Genomic DNA, 21,160 nt, shown 5'->3' on the forward strand with positions numbered 1-21,160 from the left:
ATCATAATGATTGGTTGCTTTAAAACATTGCTTACTAAAATCGTAGGAAACCAAGGAAATTAAGAAACCAGTGCCTTTTCCAAGAGTAGTTCTTTGAGTTTTTTTCAATTTTGCCCATGATTATTTGTCCACTCAAATTTTCTCCTTAATTTGTACAACTTACCTATTACTAAAAATTCTCACTCCCCTCCTGAATTTTAAAGTTATTGGCCTCAAGTAGTAGACAGTATTGGCTCCCAGTTGTTCTAAGTTTCTCTGAAGAATCATGAGCGCCCAGTGGAGGAAGGTAGTTGCGGGGAATTAGGATGTATAAAAAGAGAAGAGGTCTAAAATGAGGCTCCCACGCAGTAGTGTTTAACATAGAAACAGGGAATCTGTGACTAATAAACAAAAGGAATGGCTAGAGAAAGAGGCAGAAGATACAGGGTGACTTAATCCAAGAAAAATCCAAAAGTGGACAGCAGTAATGGGCAATTGAGCACCTGTTACTCATCTACGCATCAGCCTCTTTAGCAATGACCCTTTAAATGTGCCTGAGTTTTTAGGGGAAAGGTGAACAGGAATATCATAAAGACAGAGAGAGTTGCTTAGAGACAGCTACAGAGAGCGCATTTAGAGACAGCTATAGAGACAGCTATAGTCCTTCCAATGGCGAAGGTGACCCAGCTCACTATTCTGTATGTCACTTCTTGTGATCATATCTTCTCCCTTGGTTGTGGTTGCACTGTGTATCATTCTTCCAGCCTCTGGGTATTTTCCCTCCCCTGTCCACGTGCCTTTCCAGATGTGTTTACATTTTCCAGCTCTCTCTGCAGCTGTGTTTCTGAGTTTCTGCCAAGCTCTGAGAGGATCATTTACTCATTGTCTCCCTCCCTCCAAACTTCATTAAGGACCAACAATTCTCCAACCCTGCAATAGAAACTCTAGAATCTAGAACCTCTCCCAACACAGGGAAGGACATTTTTGACAGAGGACTGTCCCTACCCTGGGATTTTCCTTCTTACTCCCAGACATCATCCCTCTTGCAGTCAGCTGGATGAAAGCACCGCGTCTCTTCCCCTCTCCTCTTGAGTACCAGTTTCTGATCCCACTCCCAGGCTGCAAGTTGACTTTCTGAATTCATAGAGTCTTACAGTTTCCAGGTGGAGGGAAAAAAACAGGTTCATCACCCTAAAATGACATTCTGTAGGGTAATAGGGGACTTGGTCCTCCTCGGGGCTGTATCTGAGAGCATGCACCTCATTGCCTATTTCGCCTTCGTAGAAAACCGCTTATCAGGCCAGAACACTGAATACCAAAAGCATTGTGTTACATGAAAGCGATGATTCATGAGAACAGAAATGATATCCTGGAGTTTAGCATGGTCTTGCTCAGTTTATGAGTGGTAATTATTACTGAAATATCCCTCTGTGTTGAGACCCCTACAGGCTTACTTCTAGCTTGTTAATTCTCTCGCTGGTCATCAGAGCATTTTCTTCACTTAACGTGAACATCCCTTAGCTCCCACGAAAGTCGTATATTGTCCAGATGTCTGACTCCTGGCTTGAGTAAAACAGAACCCAGGCTGGCCTTCCCAGCTTTACCAACAGTAGAAGGGCCCAGGTTTTCAGCTCCAAAAGACAAGCATCTTCTCCTAAAGTGTTCTCACCTTTTCATGGGACTGGGCCAGTCTTCCCACCTGAGTCAGGTTTTTTTGTTGTTGTTTTTTTAAGACAGAGTTTCGCTCTTGTTGCCCAGGCTGGAGTGCAATGGCATGATTTCAGCTCACCGCAACCTCTGTCTCCCGGGTTCAAGTGATTCTCCTGCCTCAGCCTCCCAAGTAGCTGGAATTACAGGCATCCACCACCATGCCCAGCTAATTTTGTATTTTTAGTAGAGATGGGGTTTCTCCACATTGGTCAGGCTTGTCTCGAACTCCCCACCTCAGGTGATCCACCCGCCTTGGCCTCCCAAAGTGCTGAGATTACAGGCGTGAGCCACCGTGCCCAGCCAGTCTTTTTAAAAAAAGAACCCGTGATTTAGAATATATAGCCCCATTGTCAAACCTAAATTTGTTCTTTTTATCACCATGACCGTTTCATGTAGAAAGCAATAATTCAGCCCCTCCGGGGCTGGTCCAGAAGTCACCCATTTCTATCATTTACATTTATAAAAGATCCTGTGCTAGTCACTGCTCACCAATGTGCCCCACGCTTAGACTTCATAACAAAACCCTCCTATTCACTAAGAATCTAGTCATTCTTCAGAGACACCAAAAGTCTTCACCCTCTCTGATCGTTCATTTTGAAGGCAGCTAGATAATAACCATGGCCCTGAGTGAGATGGTAGGGCTGTTTGCTTTGGCATAAAAAAGAACATTTTGCTTTGGCATAACTTTCTCATGAACAAAATCTATCATTCCATCATGAGAAATAATTTCCAAAGAGTAAACCACCCTTGGGGTAAAGAAACACACTGAGGCATACGTGACAAATACTTTGCTGAGGATGGTTCTGGGAAAGAGTTGGGCAAGAGAATCAGGGAGCTGGGAGTGTTGGAGCGTGTGGGAGTGGCGGGAGGAAAGGGTGAGCGCTGAGAGAGAAAGGAAGTGCCTGGAGTCTGCCTCTGCCGCCCTGTGAAGTAAGGGCTTTGCCTCTGTGGAAGCCATCTCAGGCATCATTGAGAGGTGGGCAGGGCATGCCCAGGTGGGAGCTGAAGTTGGAGAGAGGCCTCTAGAAATCTGAGGGCAGCTTGAGGCTCTGGGAGGGGCTGAGGAGCATCCTGTCAAAGAGAAAAGGGAGACAGGATAAAGCACTTTTTTTTTTTTGAGATGGAGTTTTTGCTCTTGTCGCCCAGGCTGGAGTGCAATGGCGCGATCTCTGCTCACTGCAACCTCCCAGGTTCAAACAATTCTCCTGCCTCAGCCTTCCAAGTAGCTGGGATTACAGGTGCGTGGCACCACACCTGGCTAATTTTTGTATTTTTAGTAGAGATGGGGTTTCACCATGTTGGCAAGGCTGATCTCGAACTCCTGACCTCGTGATCTGCCCGCCTTGCCTAATGTTATTTTTCATCCCTAGAGGATTCACCTCAAGAGCAACGCAGGGCAGGTATTTACACAGGTTAACTGCTTTTCCTGACTTGTGTGGCCCTAGGATCAGGTGTATCAAAAGACATGAAGATCATCCTGGGCAGCATAGTGACACCTCATCTTTACAAAAAAATTTAAAATTAGCCAGGCATACTGGTGCATGCCTGTAGTCCTAGTTACTCGGGAGGCTGAGGCAGGAGGATCACTTGAACCCAGGAGTTTGAGGCTGCAGTAAGCTATGATCAAACCACTGCACACCAGCCTGGGTGACAGAGTGAGACCCTATCTCTCAAAAAAAGGAAAAAAAAGGCCAGGCGTGGTGGCTCATGCCTGCAATCCCAGCACTTTGGGAGGCTGAGCGGTGGTGGATCACCTGGGATCAGAAGTTCGAGACCAACCTGACCAACGTGGAGAAACCCCATCTCTACTAAAAATACAAAATTAGCTGGGCATGGTGACAGGCATCTGTAATCCCAGCTACTTGGGAGGCTGAGGCAGGAGAATCGCTTGAACCTGGGAGGTGGAAGTTGCAGTGAGCCAAGATCGCGTCACTGCACTCCAGCTTGGGCGATGAGCGAAACTCCATCTCAAAAAAAAAAAAAAAAAGACATAAGGCAAATTTCTAAAGTGCCAGGGATCTGAGTAAAAAAAATTAGTCATTCCAACATCTACCTATTATGCCATTTCCATAATAAAAGCATCTGATCGCTTTCCAGAGCAGTGAGTTCTGACTTTGGTTAGATAGTCCAATCAGTCTGTAGACTATGACATGCTAAATCTATGCAAATGTCTTTAGGCAACAGCTACACTGAAACTATAGCTACCTTTCTGTGTACGACTTTCTCCCTTAGGACACAAATTTTGCTTCAGTCTCTTCCAGGATGTCAGGAGGTAGTCTGTCCATGATTTAAAATAGCTTCTATTGCAGTGGACCGGGCCAGCTCACAGGTTGATAAGGAAGGAGGCGCATTTTCATATTCTACTTCATGGTTTCCTGCCCTTGGTGTGGGTCTTCACAGAAAGGTAACTAGGATTCCAATTATCTTGCTTTAATCTTGGCATTTTAAATGTTTATGCAAAGAAAGTACAGCTGACTCATTCATCTGATCACTTCCAAGAGGGAGAGGAGAGGCTCCGAGTCACCAGCCCAAGATCCCCAAGGGGCCAGTGCCCAGAGCCAGTCCTGCGAGCATAGCCAGAGGATGATGTCAGGGCTTCCCAAAGCAGGTCCTTGTCATCACAGCCCCGACGCGTCTGCAGGGACAATAGCCAGCACACCGCTCTCCATCAGCTCCCAGCCAGCCTCATGCTGGGGAAGATTGGAGCGGAGGCCCAGGGTCACACCACGGAGCCAGGAGACTTGGTCATTCCAGAGGCAGTCAGATAAGGTGACCTTTGTCCCTCTCTGCATGGGCTTGGCTTGAACCAGGAAGGAGAGGGAGTGGCATGCCAGCCTTTCCACCCACACTCCTCCTACTCTGAGGAAGGGCCGCCTTTGCTTTCCCAGAAGGAACCTCTCAGGACCAACCAGTTTTTCTGGTTCTGGAGTTGTGCTGACCTTTGCAAAGCTGACCAGAGGATAAACTGCCTCCCGGGTGGTCTGTTTATTTTTGATGATGTTAAACTTGAGACAAACAGATGCTCCTACCAAAAACAATAGCAACAATAGCAACAATAACAGCAAGAAATTATTAATCACTTACACGTCAGGAACTGGGCCCAGTGCTTTCCATATGTTATTACCTAATCCTCGAAACCCTGAAAGCTAGCTATTATGATGATGATTCCCATTTTATAGATGGGGAAACTGAGGCTCAGAGAGGTCAAATAACTTGCCAACTGTCACGCTATCCCTGAACTGGTAGAACCAAAAAGCAAACTCAAATGCGTCTGACTCCAGAACCCAGGGCCTTGTGGGCCACACCGAACACCACAGGAGGTGTTCATGCCAAAAGGAAGCCACTGCTATGTACTTACAGGAGCCCCTCCACTGTTAAGGTTTTTCCCATCAACAGCGACGAGCTAAGTCTATAGCTGTGTCTGGGCTCCCTGCCCTTTCCCTCATCTTCTGCCCTGGCAGTGGCAAATCTAAACCAGTCACTTGTAGCCCTGAAAGAGTGGTGATTGACAGGGGCCCCCATGGTGAGATCTTGTGGCCTGGACAGCGACCAGTGGTCCTCAGTGCAGCTGTCAGTATGTTCTAACTTGGCACATTGTGCTTTTTAGATACCGGAGAGGAGTCATATTTGGGGCCTTGGCACTCATCCTGGTTGTTTACGCAGGTGTAAACCCGTACGCGGGATGTAGTTCCATGCACTCATGGTTTCCTCATTTCATTGACTTAAGCAAGGGAGACTCCTACAAGCAATGTCTCTCCAGGGGTTGGCTCCTAAAATAGCCCTCTCCCCTGGCTGAAAGCACTTCTTTGTCATCCTCCCCAACCCAAGCATGCTAATGGCCACTCTATCATTTCTCGTCCACACGCCCCATCCTTTCATTGTCAGACGCGCCCCTCTCCCTTTCTGCTGTCCTGTCCACCGCTGACAGTCACTTCAGGCTCCATTCAATCCCACCTCCTCCGGGAGGCTTCTTGGACAACTTCGCATCGCTGTCTCCTCTCTGTAACCACCACCAGCACTCACCAGGCAGTCTGGCCCGTGACAGATTCTCTGATTGTGTCCCATCCAGATACAAGGATCTCCTTTCTCATGGTTTTCTGTCTCTTCTCTTAGCCATATCTTATCTGATCACACCTCAGCTTGTCTCTGCTCCTCTTAAAATGGGAAGGCTGGAGTTAAACGCAACAATTTAGGAATGCTCCGTCCAGCCCTGGGGAAAGGGGGATTGATTACCTACACCTTTATTCCAGATACTCAACTTCTAGACTTTTCGACATCATTCTTGTGCTTCGACCTGGGGTCACCAAATGCCAGGTGTCAGAGTGGAAAGGGCTGATTCACTGGTAGTAACTTCAGGGCTGCAACAATCTTTCCACCCCTTTACTGAGGCAAGTCCGAATTAAATTCATCGGGACTCTCCCTTCCCAGAATCTCCTGCCTTCTTTGTTCCTCAAAAGCAAGATGTCACAGTCAGTCCCTCAGATCTCAAAAATTCAGCTATTTTGTGGAATTCTGGAGACAGCCTTAGCATATGACCTATGTATACGAAGTAGGCTGGGCGCGGTGGCTCACGCCTATAATCCCAGCACTTTGGGAGGCTACAGCAGGTGGATCACGAGGTCAGGAGATCGAAACCATCCTGGCTAACACAGTGAAACCCTGTCTCTACTAAAAATACAAAAAATTAGCCAGATGTGGTGGCAGGTGCCTGTAGGACCAGCTACTTGGGAGGTTGAGACAGGAGAATTACTTGAACCCGGGAGGTGGAGGTTGCAGTGAGTCGAGATTGTGCCACTGCACTCCAGCCTGGGCAACAGAGCAAGACTCCATCTCAAAAAAAAAAAAACAACCAAATAGTAGAGATGTTGGTCATTTTCTGTGTTACCCCTGCCCTACCTATCCCCCAATCAACCAAGCAGGTTGATGATGTACCATAAACCATACAATGGCTTCACCTGCTGACTTCCAGGAAAGATGACTAATTCTGCCACCCCCTCTACCAGGTGAGTCTGAGATTCCAACGGCTGATACTGTGGTCCTAGTTCAGTCTCAAAATAACTGGGTAGACCTGACCTTACAATGTGTTCATTTATTAAAAAGAAATGAGAAGGCTGGGTGCAGTGGCTCACGCCTGTAATCCCAGCACTTTGGGAGGCCGAGGTGTGTGGATCACCTGAGGTCAGGAGTTCAAGACCAGCCTGGCTAACATGGTGAAACCCTGTCTCCACAAAAATACAAAAATTAGCTGGGCATGGTGGCGCATGCCTGTAGTCCCAGCTACTTGGGAGGCTGAGGCCAGAGAATCACTTAAACCTCGGAGGGGGAGTTTCAGTGAGTTGAGATCATGTCACTGCACTCCAGCCTGGGTGACAGAGCAAGACTCCGTCTCAAAAAAAAGAAAAAAGAAAAAAAGAAAGAAATGAGAAAATGTGCCCCCTTCCTGAACTATTATGAAGTCTAACAAAGTTAGCTGTTTTTGCTATTGCTGCCACTGCTAGGTAAACTACTCAGCCACCTGCTATTTTTATTATTTGCTCTCTCTCTACTTGAAACAATGAAATTAGGGTTTTGGGGTCATAAGAGGAGAAACCACCCTCTCTCCCCTTCTCTTAACATTTCCACCCATGTTAGAATATGTAGATTTTGCAATTTGGTTAATTTCCTCTAATTTGTACACATCTGGGAGGTGATACCCTGTGTGGAGAGAGGAGGAGTCTTTGTCATGAGAAGTATCAGATCAGAGAAGGTCCACATGCATTTAGACTGAAGGAAGTGGGCAGGGGAGGTGACATCACAAAGCTCTCAGACTGAGGGTCCTGCTGGGCAGAGAAGACTGGCTGCCCTGAGAGGCTGACAAAGTCACATGCAGGGTCTCTGAGAGTGTGAATGGCACTGGCCCGGGGCACGTGCCATGTGGATCCCAAGAAAATGCAGTGACTTCTAGAGTGGGGAACACTTAACCCCCTAACCCCCATCCACCCACCCACCTACTGCATGCCTACCTGGCCCTCAGTAATACACATGATCCTTTTTTTTTTTTTTTTTTTTTTTTGAGACACAGTCTTGTTCTGTCGCCCGGGCTAGAGTTCAGTGGTGTGATCTCTGCTGACTGCAACCACTGCCTCCCGGGTTCAAGCAATTCTCCTGCCTCAGCCTCCGGAGTAGCTGGGATTACAGGTGCTCGCCACCATGTCTGGCTAATTTTTGTATTTTTAGTAGAGACGGGGTTTCACCATGTTGGCCAGGCTGGTCTCGAATTCCTGACCTCATGATCCACCTGCCTCGGCCTCCCAAAGTGCTGGGATTACAGGCATGAGCCACCGTGCCCAGCCACATTAGGCATTTTTCTAAGGTATGAATTTCTATGATGAACATGTATTACTTTTATATTCATGGTAAAGCGATAATGACTTTTATAAATAACCTTGGAGCAGAAATGCTCAGCCCCAAACCCTTCCCAGTTAGTGGGCCGCCCCATGGGCCTGTGACTGGAGTTTCCCCCTGCCCTGTCCTTGCACGGCCTCCTTCCTGATGTGACACTTGGATGCCTGTGAGAGGGCCTGTGACAGATGCCAGCAGTGGTGGCGATGACAAGCCCAAAGCCACATTTGTTCCATTACTTCCAGCTCCTCGTTGCCTTTGCAATCCCTGCGGTGAGAGCTCCTTTCTCTTATCTGCACAAGGCAAGAGTCAAAAGTTCTTGTCAGTGTGATTGCAGAATATCAGACTGGAAAACTTCCTGATAATACCTAAATTCCTTTAGCGCAGAGCAGTCCCTGGACTCGGGTCAGGAGAGCTATGTGGCTTCAGCACATTGTGTACTGTGCAGCTGGATAATAAACCAGATGAAATTTGGCAAATAAAAATGTAAGGATGTCATTCTAGTCCCATCTGGTGTGATAACCCCTCTCCCACACCAATTTGTCTGTTCCCTTAGCAAAACCATGCAGGCGGCAGAGGAAGAGTCTCTGCTTGTGTGAGCCATTGAGGAATTCCAAAATAGACACAAAGATATGAGGAATACAAAGAAATGCCAAATAATAAAAAATGAGGATCAAGCTGAGGTTTCTGAGACACATTTATGGCTTTTGTAAACAGTCATGCATTCGTTGAATGGCTCTTTGGGATGCACTGGTGACATTAGCTAATTCTGACATTTAGGAATTTAAACTTAGTAGCTGTCCTAGCTTATCCTTATTAACAAAGTTTGCTAAACATTGCGTGCTGTGCGCCCTGCTTTATGTTTGAAGATGATGCAAATGGCAGGCTGTCATCTCGATTCCATCTCTCATCGTAAAACCCGAGGGACACGGGCGCATGCTCCCACCATGTTTTCCTCTGGCCTCATTCTGCACCCAGCATTCCCTGTTCTTTCCTTACCTTCCCCAGTTTAGTTTCAAAAACATATGGGTTCCCAAAGAAAACAGGAAGAAATGCAGAAACGTGAAAATAAAGTTTAACAAGTGATGATAGACCTTTGATAGAGCACTCTTTCCTCCATGCCAAACAAACCGCTTTTTATAAACCAAATAATTTAAAGTATAGCTTCACTCTTACCTAAACTTAAAACAAACTGGAGAGAGAGAGGTGTATTTTTAATAGAAATGACACATCGAAGCATTTCCAAAAATGCCCTTTGATGCTCCTAAGCCACTGACCAAGTTCCTGGATTTCACCCCCTCAGGTAACCAGGTGAGTTTCTCCAAATCCACGGATGCTTTTGCCTTTGAAGAGGACAGCAGCAGCGATGGGCTTTCTCCGGATCAGACTCGAAGTGAAGACCCCCAAAACTCAGCGGGATCCCCGCCAGACGCTAAAGCCTCAGATACCCCTTCGACAGGTTCTCTGGGGACAAACCAGGTAAAAAACAAAACAAACAAACGAAAAAAGTAAAACAGCATCTCAGTGTATTATCGTTTCAGTCTTAACATCAACACTGTTAACAGCTGGTTTTGCTTAGAGAATGCAGAGATGTCCCTGGCTGCCACAGCATTTTGATGCCTCTTCTCACTCTATTCAGCGCAGGCCTCTGTGTGGGGTGACAAAAGCTCCAGAAAACACTGAAAGAGAACCTCCAGAACTACACCCTTTAACTTATCCATTAAGCATCTGCTCTGCCAAGCAGATACCTTTTATCTCCATTTTTATGGACAAACTAGCTAAGACTCAGTGAGATTGGATGACTCGCCAACAATCTCCCAGCTAGAAAGTGCCAGAGCAGGACTGATTCAAAGTTCACCATCTCTCTATGCACTGAGGACTCACTACGGGGCTCCAGGGAGTGGAGAGAAGGAAACGCTGGCTCTCTCCAAGGCAGGGAGGCCCACGTTGCTTCTGCTTTTAGCAGGTTTCTACCTAGCAAGCTGCAGCAAAATTCAGCCCCAACCCAACCATAACATTCACCTCTTTCTGTACAAATCTACAAACCCTTGAGCATGAGGAACATGTATTGAGAATACTCTTAAAGCACATTTATAAAGAATAATGATGATTATGGGCTGGGCACGGTGGCTCACGCCTGCAATCCCGGCACTTTGGGAGGCTGAGGCGGGCGGATCACCTGAGATCAGGAGTGCAAGACCAGCCTGGCCAACACGGTGAAACCCCGTCTCTACTAAAAATACAAAAATTAGCCGGGCATGGTGGTGCGCGCCTGTAATCCCAGCTACTTGGGAGGCTGAGGCAGGAGAATCACTTGAAACCGGAAGGCAGAGGTTGCAGTGAGCTGAGATCATGCCACTGCACTCCAGCCTGGGCAACAAGATTGAAACTCCATCTCAAAGGGGGAAAAAAAAAGAATAATGATGATTATGAACAACAGTTCCTGCTACATATTAAGTGCTCACTCTGGGCCAGGGGCAGTGCCAAGTGCATCACAAAAGTTTCCTCATTTGAAATCAGAGACCCCTCCAAGTAGGTATCATCGAGGTTGATTCTGACAGAGAAGGAACTAAAGCTCTGTGAGGCCGAGCAACTGGTGGGCTCTAGAAGTATGGCAGAGTGTCAGCCACGCCGGGGAAATCCAGCCAGAGGTATGGAGCCCTTAAGAGAGATGCACCCGGGCATCCACATATGAGGGGAAGGAGATGCGTAAGTGTGAAAGCCAGATGTGAGCTCTTCCAACTCTGTCTCTATCCAGAGAGCCCTTCAGACCCTCAGCCCCTTCCCTTTACCACTCCTGGCCTCACAGAAATTGTGCAATGAACTGAAATTAGATACATTTGAAAGCTGGGTTATTTTTTCCCACTGAAAAGTACCATACAGATATTAGGGACAGTTAAAATAATTATCATTCAGTGCCTCGTTTCCCAAAACCATGCCAGTTACTGATCACCGTCATGCCTATCTTCACCCCATCAGAGCAAACCTAAAGCTGCCAAGGAGAAAAAGTGAAATGGGAGGAAAAAGGGAGGCATGGAAAGCTGAGCTGAATACTTGTGTGTTTATTGTGCAAGAGTGTATAATCAAAGCATTTTTCCTTCCCCTGCATGCCACAGCTGGTCTTTGCAGCCAAATTTCTTTGATAACATCAAACGGTGTATCAGATCATTTGTACACATTATTCTGACAGTAAATTCCTAAGCTTCTGATTTAAGAATGGTTTGAGGAAAAGGCAAGTTCTTTTCTGCTTCACCTTAGGAGAGGGGAAGAAGAGAACAAGCACCGAACAATGCCAGGCAAGATGCAAAAATCATTGTTTGTCATTTCTCCCGGCAATCATGTTTGACAGATGAGGACACTGAGGCTCCAAGAGAAAAGAATCCTTTGGGCCTTTGACAGGTGCCAGGCAGGGCTCAGGGAAGAACTGCAAAGCTCATTCCTCACCCCCCATGGAGAGATCATGGGCAGCCCTGGCTCCTTTTTGTCAGAGTTGAAACAGAGGAATATAGGAGAGAAAGAGAAAATAATTTTTCCCTTTACAGACTCTACCTCTGGTAAAGGTTTCTTATGACTTTATACACATGCATGCGCACGCACACACAAACACACACACAGACTCACATATGTATACACACAAAACCACATATACATATACATGCCTGTGTGCACACATGTGCACACACACACACGTATACACCTAACATGCACACACACATATATACACACATGCTCATAAGCACGCATGCACGTACACACATACATGCACATATAAACACTCAGACACACACTTGGAGATACACACACACACTTCCAAACACACACTTTCCCTTTTTCTGCTAACATCCTTTTTATCTACCTTGTTCATTGTCCTACTTTCCCCCCAAATTCCTACACTCACTCTTCCCTGCTGCTCTTTTTCAATTGCATTATCAAGACAGGTGGACCTTGTCACACACAGGTGGAACGCCCACACACCGAGACCAGATGTCCCAGTTTGCCTAGAACAGACCAGTTTTATACCTGTCTTTTGGAATCATTACTTAGAATGATTCCCTTTCTCTCTCAAAAGTGTTCTCAGCTGGATGATAAGTTTATATATATATATGTATATATGTATATACACATAAACATATTTATATGTGTATACACATGTACATATATATACACACACACATATATACACACATATACGTATGTGACTCCTCCCACTGAGGGAGTAGGCTGATATTTACTTGGGTGAGAAGCTAGGATGAAAGCAGCAGAGGTATATATACGGACTCTAACATTTCTGTGTCACACAACTTATTCCTGTATCTTCCTAATATCGGTAACATTTGGATTTCAGGATCTTGCTTCTGGCTCAGAAAATGACAGAAATGACTCAGCCTCACAGCCCAGCCACCAGTCAGATGCGGGGAAGCAGGGGCTTGGCCCCCCCAGCACCCCCATAGCCGTGCATGCTGCTGTAAAGGTACGGACACATCAGCCTCCAAGCCCTGCCTGAGCGCTCGGCTCACAGAGCCGACTTGGAGCAGAACTTTCTGAGTTAGGTCTGACAACACGAGGAGAGTTACACGGAGGACCCAGGCAGAGGTTCAGCTCACTAGGAGGGTCACAAAACAGGAGATGAGAAATGGGTCACCATCCTTGCAGCACAGCAGAAGTCACCTCTGCCACGGAGAAGGCTGTGGGTTTGCATTTCTTTGGAATCACAGTCCAGCCAGCACGTTCCCCACTTAAAAGATTTCATAAGCTCACCTTTGAGGTAGACACAGCTGATTGTAAGGCAGGATTTGCAAGTTTCATAAAATAGGTATGCAGCAGTTGGATTTTATGCAAGGGAAGTAGCCCTGAAAAGCTTGCATAACGTAAAACTTACATCATTCAAGCCAGTCTTCCTATGGAAATAACCACGGGGTTTCATTCATAGTAGGCAGGTAGCTAGAATCATTATAGCAAATGTTTAGTTTTCTCAGCATTATATCTTTTTGTTAATTTTTATTTTTATTTCAATAGTTTTGGGGGTGCAGGTGGTTTTTGGTTACACAGAGAAGTTCTTTAGTGGTGATTTTTTTTCTTTTTCTTTTTTCTTTTTTGAGACAGAGTCTCTCTCTGTTGCCCAGGTTGGAATACAGTGGCGCGATCTCAGCTCACTGCAACCTCCGCCTCCCAGGTTCAAGTGATTCTCCTGCCTCAGCCTCCCGAGTATCTGGGACTACAGGCTCCCGCCACCATGCCCGGCTAATTTTTTGTGTTTTTCATAGAGATGGGGTTTCACTGTGTTAGCCAGGATGGTCTTCATCTCCTGACCTCATGATCCACCTGCCTTGGCCTTCCAAAGTGCTGGGATTACAGGCGTGAGCCACTGCGCCCGGCCCTTTAGTGGCGATTTCGGAGATTGTAGTGCACCCGTCACCTGAGCAGTGTACACTGTACACAATACGGAATCTTTTATCCCTCACCCCACTCCCAATCTTCCCCCAATCCCCAAATTCCATTACATAATTCTTACGCCTCTGCATCCTCATAGCTTAGTTCCCACTTATAAGTGAGAACACATGATACTTGGTTTTCCATTCCTGAGTTACTTCACTTAGAATAATGGCCTGCAGCTCCATCCAAGTGGCTGCAAAAGACATTATTTCATTCCTTTTTATGGCTGAGTAGCATTCCATGTTGTATATGTACCACATTTTCTTTATCCACTTGTTGGTTGATGGGCACTTCGGTTGGGTCCATATCTTTGCACTTGCGACTCGTGCTTCTATAAACACCAGCATCGCATCTCACAGTACACAGGCTGCTCTCTCTTCAGTTAATTGCCTGGTAATCATGTGGCCTTCTTTATAATGTTTTATCCCAAATAACTTCCCTTTGTGTTCCTTTTTTTTTTCTTTTGAGATGGAGTTTCACTCTTGTTGCCCAGGCTGGAGTGCAGTGGCGTGATCTCAGCTCGTCGCAACCTCCGCCTCCCAGGTTCAAGTGATTCTCCTGCCTCAGCCTCCCCAGTAGCTGGGAGTATAGGTGCACACCACCATGCCTGGCAAATTTTGTATTTTTAGTAAAGACGGGGTTTCTCCATGTTGGTCAGGCTGATCTTGAACTCCTGACCTCAGGTAATCCACCTGCCTCAGCCTCCCAGAGTGCTGGGATTACAGGCGTAAGCCACCGTGCCTGGCCTATACCCAAATAACTTCCAACTGATTTGGGAACACGTTTTCTCAGCTCGAGTGCCACCACTTAATGAATGTTAAAATGACTCTTACGGGACTTAAAAAAGATTGTAAATTGAAGTAAAAATCAATGATATAGTAACAGTTTTATGGTCTAATGGATGATAGACACTTCAGTTTGCCAATAAGGCTCCCCCACCAAACCACAAGAGCTTAAACCCAGCTGACAATTCACTCAGCTCAACAGGTCGGAAATTATGTGACTATCAATGCATTTTGTTCATTGCAGGGGAAGGAGGAGGAGATGAGTCCCGTTATTTCTAAAGCTGAGTATAAAAAGAAATGTTATTCATATTTCTATCACAGTATTTAAATTTTGCATAATTTAAGTTAGCAGTGGAGCATGGTGGCTCACGCCTGTAATCCCAGCACTTTGGGAGGCCGAGGCGGGCAGATCACCTGAGGTCAGGAGTTCGAGACCAGCCTGGCCAATATGGTGAAACCCCGTCTCTACCAAAAAATACAAAAATTAGCCGGACGTGGTGGCGTGTGCCTGTAATCCCAGCTACTCAGGAGGCTGAGGCAGGATAATCGCTTGAACCCAGGAGGGGGTGGTGGCAGTGAGCCGAGATCGCAGTCACTGCACTCTAGCCTGGTCGACAGAGCGAGACTCTGTATATATATATAAAAAAAAAAAAAATTAGCAAAGCCTTCAACCTCACTGTAGTAGAAAGTATGATAGAAGCCCAGGAGATGAACAGATCGCTTTCTGTGAAAAAGGCGATTCTTACAGACACCCAGCTGGTCCCGGCAGGCTGGTTGTTTGTAGAAGAGCCATCATTTCTTCTGCTTGGTCAACAAACACAAAAACCTTAGTGTCCCCTGGGCTCAAAAAGAGAATAGTAATAGTAGCCTTTACCCCAGACTATCCAGAGTAAATGGTCCGATTTCAGTATCTTCTGGAATGTGCTAAGGCAACATAGAGAAAAAAAGCTCCTGGACCTCCGACTTAGCTGCGGGACCCTGCCAGGGCTGCAGCTCCCATCCTCCCCAGACAAGGCAAGCCTCAGAATGAGGCGACAACAGCAGCTGGTCTGGAGCAGGCCAGGGCAGAGCTGGTTTCGGGAGCCCTGCAGAAACTCTCCAAGGACAGAAGACTGATTAACTAACTAGAATGCTAATCGATTAGTAAGCAGAGAGAAACGGAGCCACCAAACACACCCAACTACTTGTGTTCATTATTCATTAGTCGCCAGGAAGAAGTCTCTTTGGAAAACAAAAGAGCCTTTGGGGGTGCATTGCGCTGAGTCCAAGTGAGTTGTAAGCTCCTTTGGATAAGGTCACATTCAGATGTGTAGTTTGTGGTTGAAGTGGGGAACCTGCCAAGTCAGAATATGCTTGCCAGCTGTTCAGGAGCCCCCTCTTCTGGACACCGGTGGAAACACACTTTCCTTCCAATGTTCCCCCAAATCCTAGCTCACTCGTGGTCATGACATCCGTGTTCTTCATTTCAACCTTCTGTAATAAAGTCAGGGTTTGAAAATTATTTTTTTTTTTTGAGGCGGAGTCTCGCTCTATCACCCAGGCTGGAGTGTAGTGGCGCAATCTCGGCTTACTGCAACCTCCACCTCCTGGGTTCAAGCTATTCTACTGCCTCACCCTCCCGAGAAGCTGAGACTACAGGCATCTACCACCAAGCCCAGCTAATTTTTTGTATTTTTACCAGAGACAGGGTTTCACCATGTTGGCCAGGCTGGTCTCGAACTCCTGACCTCAAGTGATGCGCCCACCTCCGCCTCCCAAAGTGCTGGGATTACAGGCATGAGCCACCGCGCCCGGCCTGAAAATTACTTTTTTTTAACCTGATAACAGGATGGACCCATTCCTTCCTAATATACAAAGGTCTTTTATTTCAGGAGCAGGTTATAGACATAATTACCTGTTCATTGACTACCTGTTATTATTTCAATATTATCTTTTATAGTCTTTATATTGATTAGTGAGAGAAAAAGTAAAGAATATTTTCTCCAACTTGCAGGTGAGGAAACTGAGATGTATTAAAGTTAAGTAATTGTACCACTTTCAAAAATTTGTCTTATCTTCCAAGACTATACCCTTAACTTCCTGATTCAGTGTGTCCAAATCATGCAATACATGCTTTGGGTTCCAACTCTGGGAAGTGTTCCAGTTAGGTGGATAACCCTTCCCATAATAAGTAAAGTGTCCTTATTTCAAAAGGTGTTACTTCCTGATCTTTCATCGGTATTTGGCAGGCAGGCGAGAGGGTGTTCAGCAGGCAGATAGGCAAGGTTTATCTTACTTTCAGCTCAAAGCAACAAATAACCACATTCTAGATTTTCAAAGAAAATCTTAGTTTTATCTTAGTTTATGTCATTAATAAGTCGACTTATTAAGTGTTTAACTAAAAGTGACTGCACATATGCATATGAAAGTTCTTTTTTTTTTTTTTTTTTTTTTTGAGATGGAGTTTCGCTCTTGTTGCCCAGGCTGGAGTGCAATGGCGTGATCTCGGCTCACTGCAACCTCTGCCTCCTGGGTTCAAGCAATTCTCCTGCCTCAGTTTCCCGAGTAGCTGGGATTACAGGCGCCTGACACCACACCTGGCTACTTTTTGTATTTTTTGTAGAGAAGGGGTTTCACCGTGTTGGTCAGGCTAGTCTCGAACTCATGACTTCAGGTGATCCACCCGCCTCGGCCTCCCAAAGTGTTGGCATTGGCATTACAGGTGTGAGCCATCGCTCCCAGCCATGAAAGAACTTTCTACAAGTAGTCTCAAGATCAGAATGCAACCTTTGTTAGGTCATCAGTTGGTTTTAGGTTAGGAGAATGCACTCATTGAAACACAGGATTACATTTTGCTGTACTCCAGAAAGGAAAAACTCTGGAGCTGCTTCTAAGATTCAACATTCCCTGTCTAAGGAGTGTCCTTCCAGTGTGATACATTTGCAATGGATTTGTTCATTAGCAACGTTAGTGTCCTAGGAGCTCTTTGTACATCATGCCTTTGCTATATTATATTTCTGAGATCCAAGAATGGCCATCAGACAAAACTGCCTCACAACGTGTCCATGATGCAAAATCATTCTCAGCCATCACCTAAAGCACATGCAATTTCCTCATCTTCTTTGCAGTCCAAATCCTTGGGTGACAGTAAGAACCGCCACAAAAAGCCCAAGGACCCCAAGCCAAAGGTGAAGAAGCTTAAATATCACCAGTACATTCCCCCAGACCAGAAGGCAGAGAAGTCCCCTCCACCTATGGACTCAGCCTACGCTCGGCTGCTCCAGCAACAGCAGCTGTTCCTGCAGCTCCAAATCCTCAGCCAGCAGCAGCAGCAGCAGCAACACCGATTCAGCTACCTAGGGATGCACCAAGCTCAGCTTAAGTAAGTCCGGCAAGGCTGGGAGGGTGGCTGTGGGCAGAGGTTGGGAAGGGTGTCTATTAATATCTATCTGCCAGCACCATGGGGCCTAGCAAGTCCTGTATTGCACCATTTCCTCATCCAGTATGTTTGGAAGGTGACTCAATTTAGAAACTATGCACACCTTTTCAGAGCCGTAAGACTGGGAGGAAGCAAATACAGGGCCCTCTATATCTGCAGATGTATTCCAAACCCTCATTGGATCCCTGAAACCTCAGAGAGTACTGAACTCTACATATACTGTATTTTTCTTAGGCATATATACCTGTGATAAGGTTTCACTTATAAATTAGGCACAGTGAGAGAATAACAATAATAGCTAGCAATAATGTAGAACAATTATAGCAAGATACTGTAATAAAAGGTATCTGGATGTGGTGGTTTCTCTCTCAAAATAACTTATTGTACTGGACACAACTATTTTTGAACTGCAGTTGACCTCAGGTAACTGAAATCTTGTAAAGTGAAACTGCCAATAGGTGGAGGGACTGCTATAAATCAATGCCCTTGATAAGAGGCCCCTTTGGGGAAAAGGAAAGTATTAGCACTTTCAAGTTGGACTATGGAAAGTCTAAGAATGTGATATTGGAATTATGAGCAATTCCGATGCCCTTCTGCTTTTAGAAGGAACAGGGCTGAGCAGCTGACAGACACTCTCAAAGATTGACTCCTGAGCCCAGGTTGTGTGACCACATTGCTAGGTCACCTTTTATTTTTTTTAAATATATTTATTTATTTATTCATTTATTTTTTCGAGATGGAGTTTCACTCTTGTTGCCCAGGCTGGAGTGCAATGGCGCGATCTTGGCTCACCGCAACCTCCGCCTCCCAGGTTCAAGCGATTCTCCTGCCTCAGCCTCCCTAGTAGCTAGGATTACAGGCATGCGCCACCACGCCCGGCTAATTTTGTATTTTTAGTAGAGACAGGGTCTCTCCACGTTGGTCAGGCTGGTCTCAAACTCCCAACCTCAGGTGATCCACCCGCCTCGGCCTCCCAAAGTGCTCGGATTACAGGCATGAGCCACCGTGCCTGGCCAGGTCACCCTTTAAATTGTCAATATCCCCACATATAAAGTTGAGATGTAGATTCCTCCTGTGTCATCCTCAGACTATATACTAGCAATTATGCTGAGCACTAAACGCAACCAAGCTTCACCAGGTGTGTTTGGCCTCCCCAGGACAGAGCATCAGCTGAATCACAGGTGGATGTGTCCTCTTTCATATGCCAAAGTCCCTGCCACTCCCTCTTATCTCCCTAAACAAAGTTCAGATGTCACGCACCGCTTACCGTCTAGCCGGCAGTGTTGTTTTTCCTCACCCTGGTCTCTTCTGCTGGTTTATTACATGCCTGACCCTTGCAGGCAATCACTTTGGGATCCGATCTAAATGCAAGTTATCCCACCAATATTTGATTGTACTTGAAATGCCTCTTTGTTTGTTTTTTAGGGAACCAAATGAACAGATGGTCAGAAATCCAAACTCTTCTTCAACGCCACTGAGCAATACCCCCTTGTCTCCTGTCAAAAACAGTTTTTCTGGACAAACTGGTGTCTCTTCTTTCAAACCAGGCCCACTCCCACCTAACCTGGATGATCTGAAGGTATAGGATTTGACATGAGTTTCTTTCTTTTTTTAAACAAATACAACAGTATGTTGTTAACATCACCAGGACCAACTGATATCTGGAGTAAGAGAGTGGGAGGGGAAGAAGACTGTAGGAAACACTGAAGGAGGTGACAGAATTTATCCTGCTGTGGTTGAACACCCCAGTTGTCTAGTCCATTTTATGCAGCCGTAACAGGATACTGGAAACTGGGAAATTTGAAAAGAAAAGGAATTTATTTCTCACAGTTCTAGAACTGAGAAGTCCGAGGACATGGCACCAGTATCTGGCAAATGCCATCCCATGGTAGAAGGGCAGAAGGTGGAAGGGCAAGAAAGGGCAAGAGCCCTTTCTTTTGAGATAGAGGGAAAAGACAAACTTTATGTTTATTTTACCATAGCAAAAAATAATTTTTAAGTAGGCTATTTCTAGATAAGAGTAAGACAGGAGACAAGTGAGACAGGAGATGCTTTAGCCAAAGAGAAACATGATCCAGATATGATAGTGCCATCTGTCAGACCCCTCAAAACCCACTTTTGGGAGGCTGAGGCAGGTGGATCCCTCTAGATACACATGCTCAGAATCATTGGCTGGTGAGAGTTACGGTAATTAGTATAGGTATAAGGAGATGATGATGATGATGGTGCCTACCTTTTTTTTTTTTTTTTTTTGAGATGGAGTCTTGCTCTGTCATCCAGGCTGGAGTGCAGTGGCACAATCTTGGCTCACTGCAAGCTCTGCTTCCCGGCTTCAAGCGATTCTCCTGCCTTAGCTTCCCTAGTAGCTGGGACTACAGGCACCTACCACTACACCCAGCTAATTTTTGTATTTTTAGTAGAGACAGGGTTTCACCAGTTGGCCAGGCTGGTCTCGAACTCCTGACCTCAGGTGATCCACCGGCCTTGGCCTCCCAAAGTGCTGGGATTACAGGCATGAGCCACCCTGCCCAGCCCCTACCAATTTTTTTTTTTTTTAAATATAAACCATCTGTCATTCATTCTGTGTAGATTTGCTTTAATTTTCACCCTGCAAGATAAGTTTTGTCTCCCCAATTTAAAAAGTGAAAATAAAAACCAGAATCATAAAGAGGTCAAATGATAGGCAGTTTAACCAGCTTATGAATGACAAAACTGAGGCTTAAAGCTAAGTAACTTATTTCAAGGGCTTTGCTATTGTATGAGACGTGAGTGGAAAGAGAGAGATGGGCAGGAGAGAACGTGGCTGGACTTGACCACTCACTGTGTGTATGGGGAGAGGCGCCATCTGAGTCTTGGGAGAGTGACATCAATGACAGAAGGAGAGTAGAATGAGGAGTTGATGTGAAGGGACAGTGGCAAGTTCATTCAGTTTGGGAAAGTCAAGTCGCGGGTACCAGCAGGACAACCGAGAGAAAAGTCATCCATTTCCATCAGTAAGAATTAGCCAGGCTGTCTTGTCAGGGGTGGGAAAAGAAATTTCAGACTCATGTGCGACGTGTGGAGCATTGAACCTAGAAGGGTGAATGAGATTGACAAAGAACAAAATGGAAAGAGTGAGAAGGAAAGAGAGAAGAGGAATGAAGGAGGCATATGATGCAACCACAATTGAGGAAAGGGAGAAATAAGAGGAATGGATGAAGGTGACCCCGCTAATAGTAATCAGAAAGGTCATATAATGAAGGTGACATTTGCAAGCAATTTTCATGTTTTGCTACACAAAAGGAAAAGAACACTGAGAGAAAAGTCTTTGATTTCTTTTTGAAAAGTTCATGGTTATATATCACAGTATGTGGATAATTTTTTGGATCCTATTTAAAAAAAAAAAAAACTGGCTGGGCGTGGTGGCTCACGCCTATAATCGCAGCACTTTGGGTGCTGCGGTAGGCGGATCATG

At 45.8% G+C, this 21,160-nt stretch overlaps 1 protein-coding gene across 5 annotated transcripts in view; it reads left to right on the plus strand.

Annotated features, from left to right (window-relative positions):
• MYOCD (myocardin) overlaps positions 1 to 21,160 on the plus strand; it is a 103,060-nt gene that overhangs the window by 60,898 nt on the left and 21,002 nt on the right. For 4 of the 5 annotated variants that reach the window (NM_001378306.1, NM_001146312.3, XM_005256863.1 and 1 more), the window contains 4 exons: positions 9,374 to 9,549; positions 12,416 to 12,541; positions 17,396 to 17,649; positions 19,132 to 19,285. In NM_001378306.1, the coding sequence (NP_001365235.1) occupies positions 9,374 to 9,549; positions 12,416 to 12,541; positions 17,396 to 17,649; positions 19,132 to 19,285 (710 nt within the window). The remainder of the gene's footprint in view (positions 1 to 9,373; positions 9,550 to 12,415; positions 12,542 to 17,395; positions 17,650 to 19,131; positions 19,286 to 21,160) is intronic. The other variant, XM_017025342.1, reaches the window with a different exon arrangement.

Source organism: Homo sapiens, chromosome 17 (assembly GCF_000001405.40).
Source record: "Homo sapiens chromosome 17, GRCh38.p14 Primary Assembly".
NCBI lineage: Eukaryota > Metazoa > Chordata > Mammalia > Primates > Hominidae > Homo > Homo sapiens.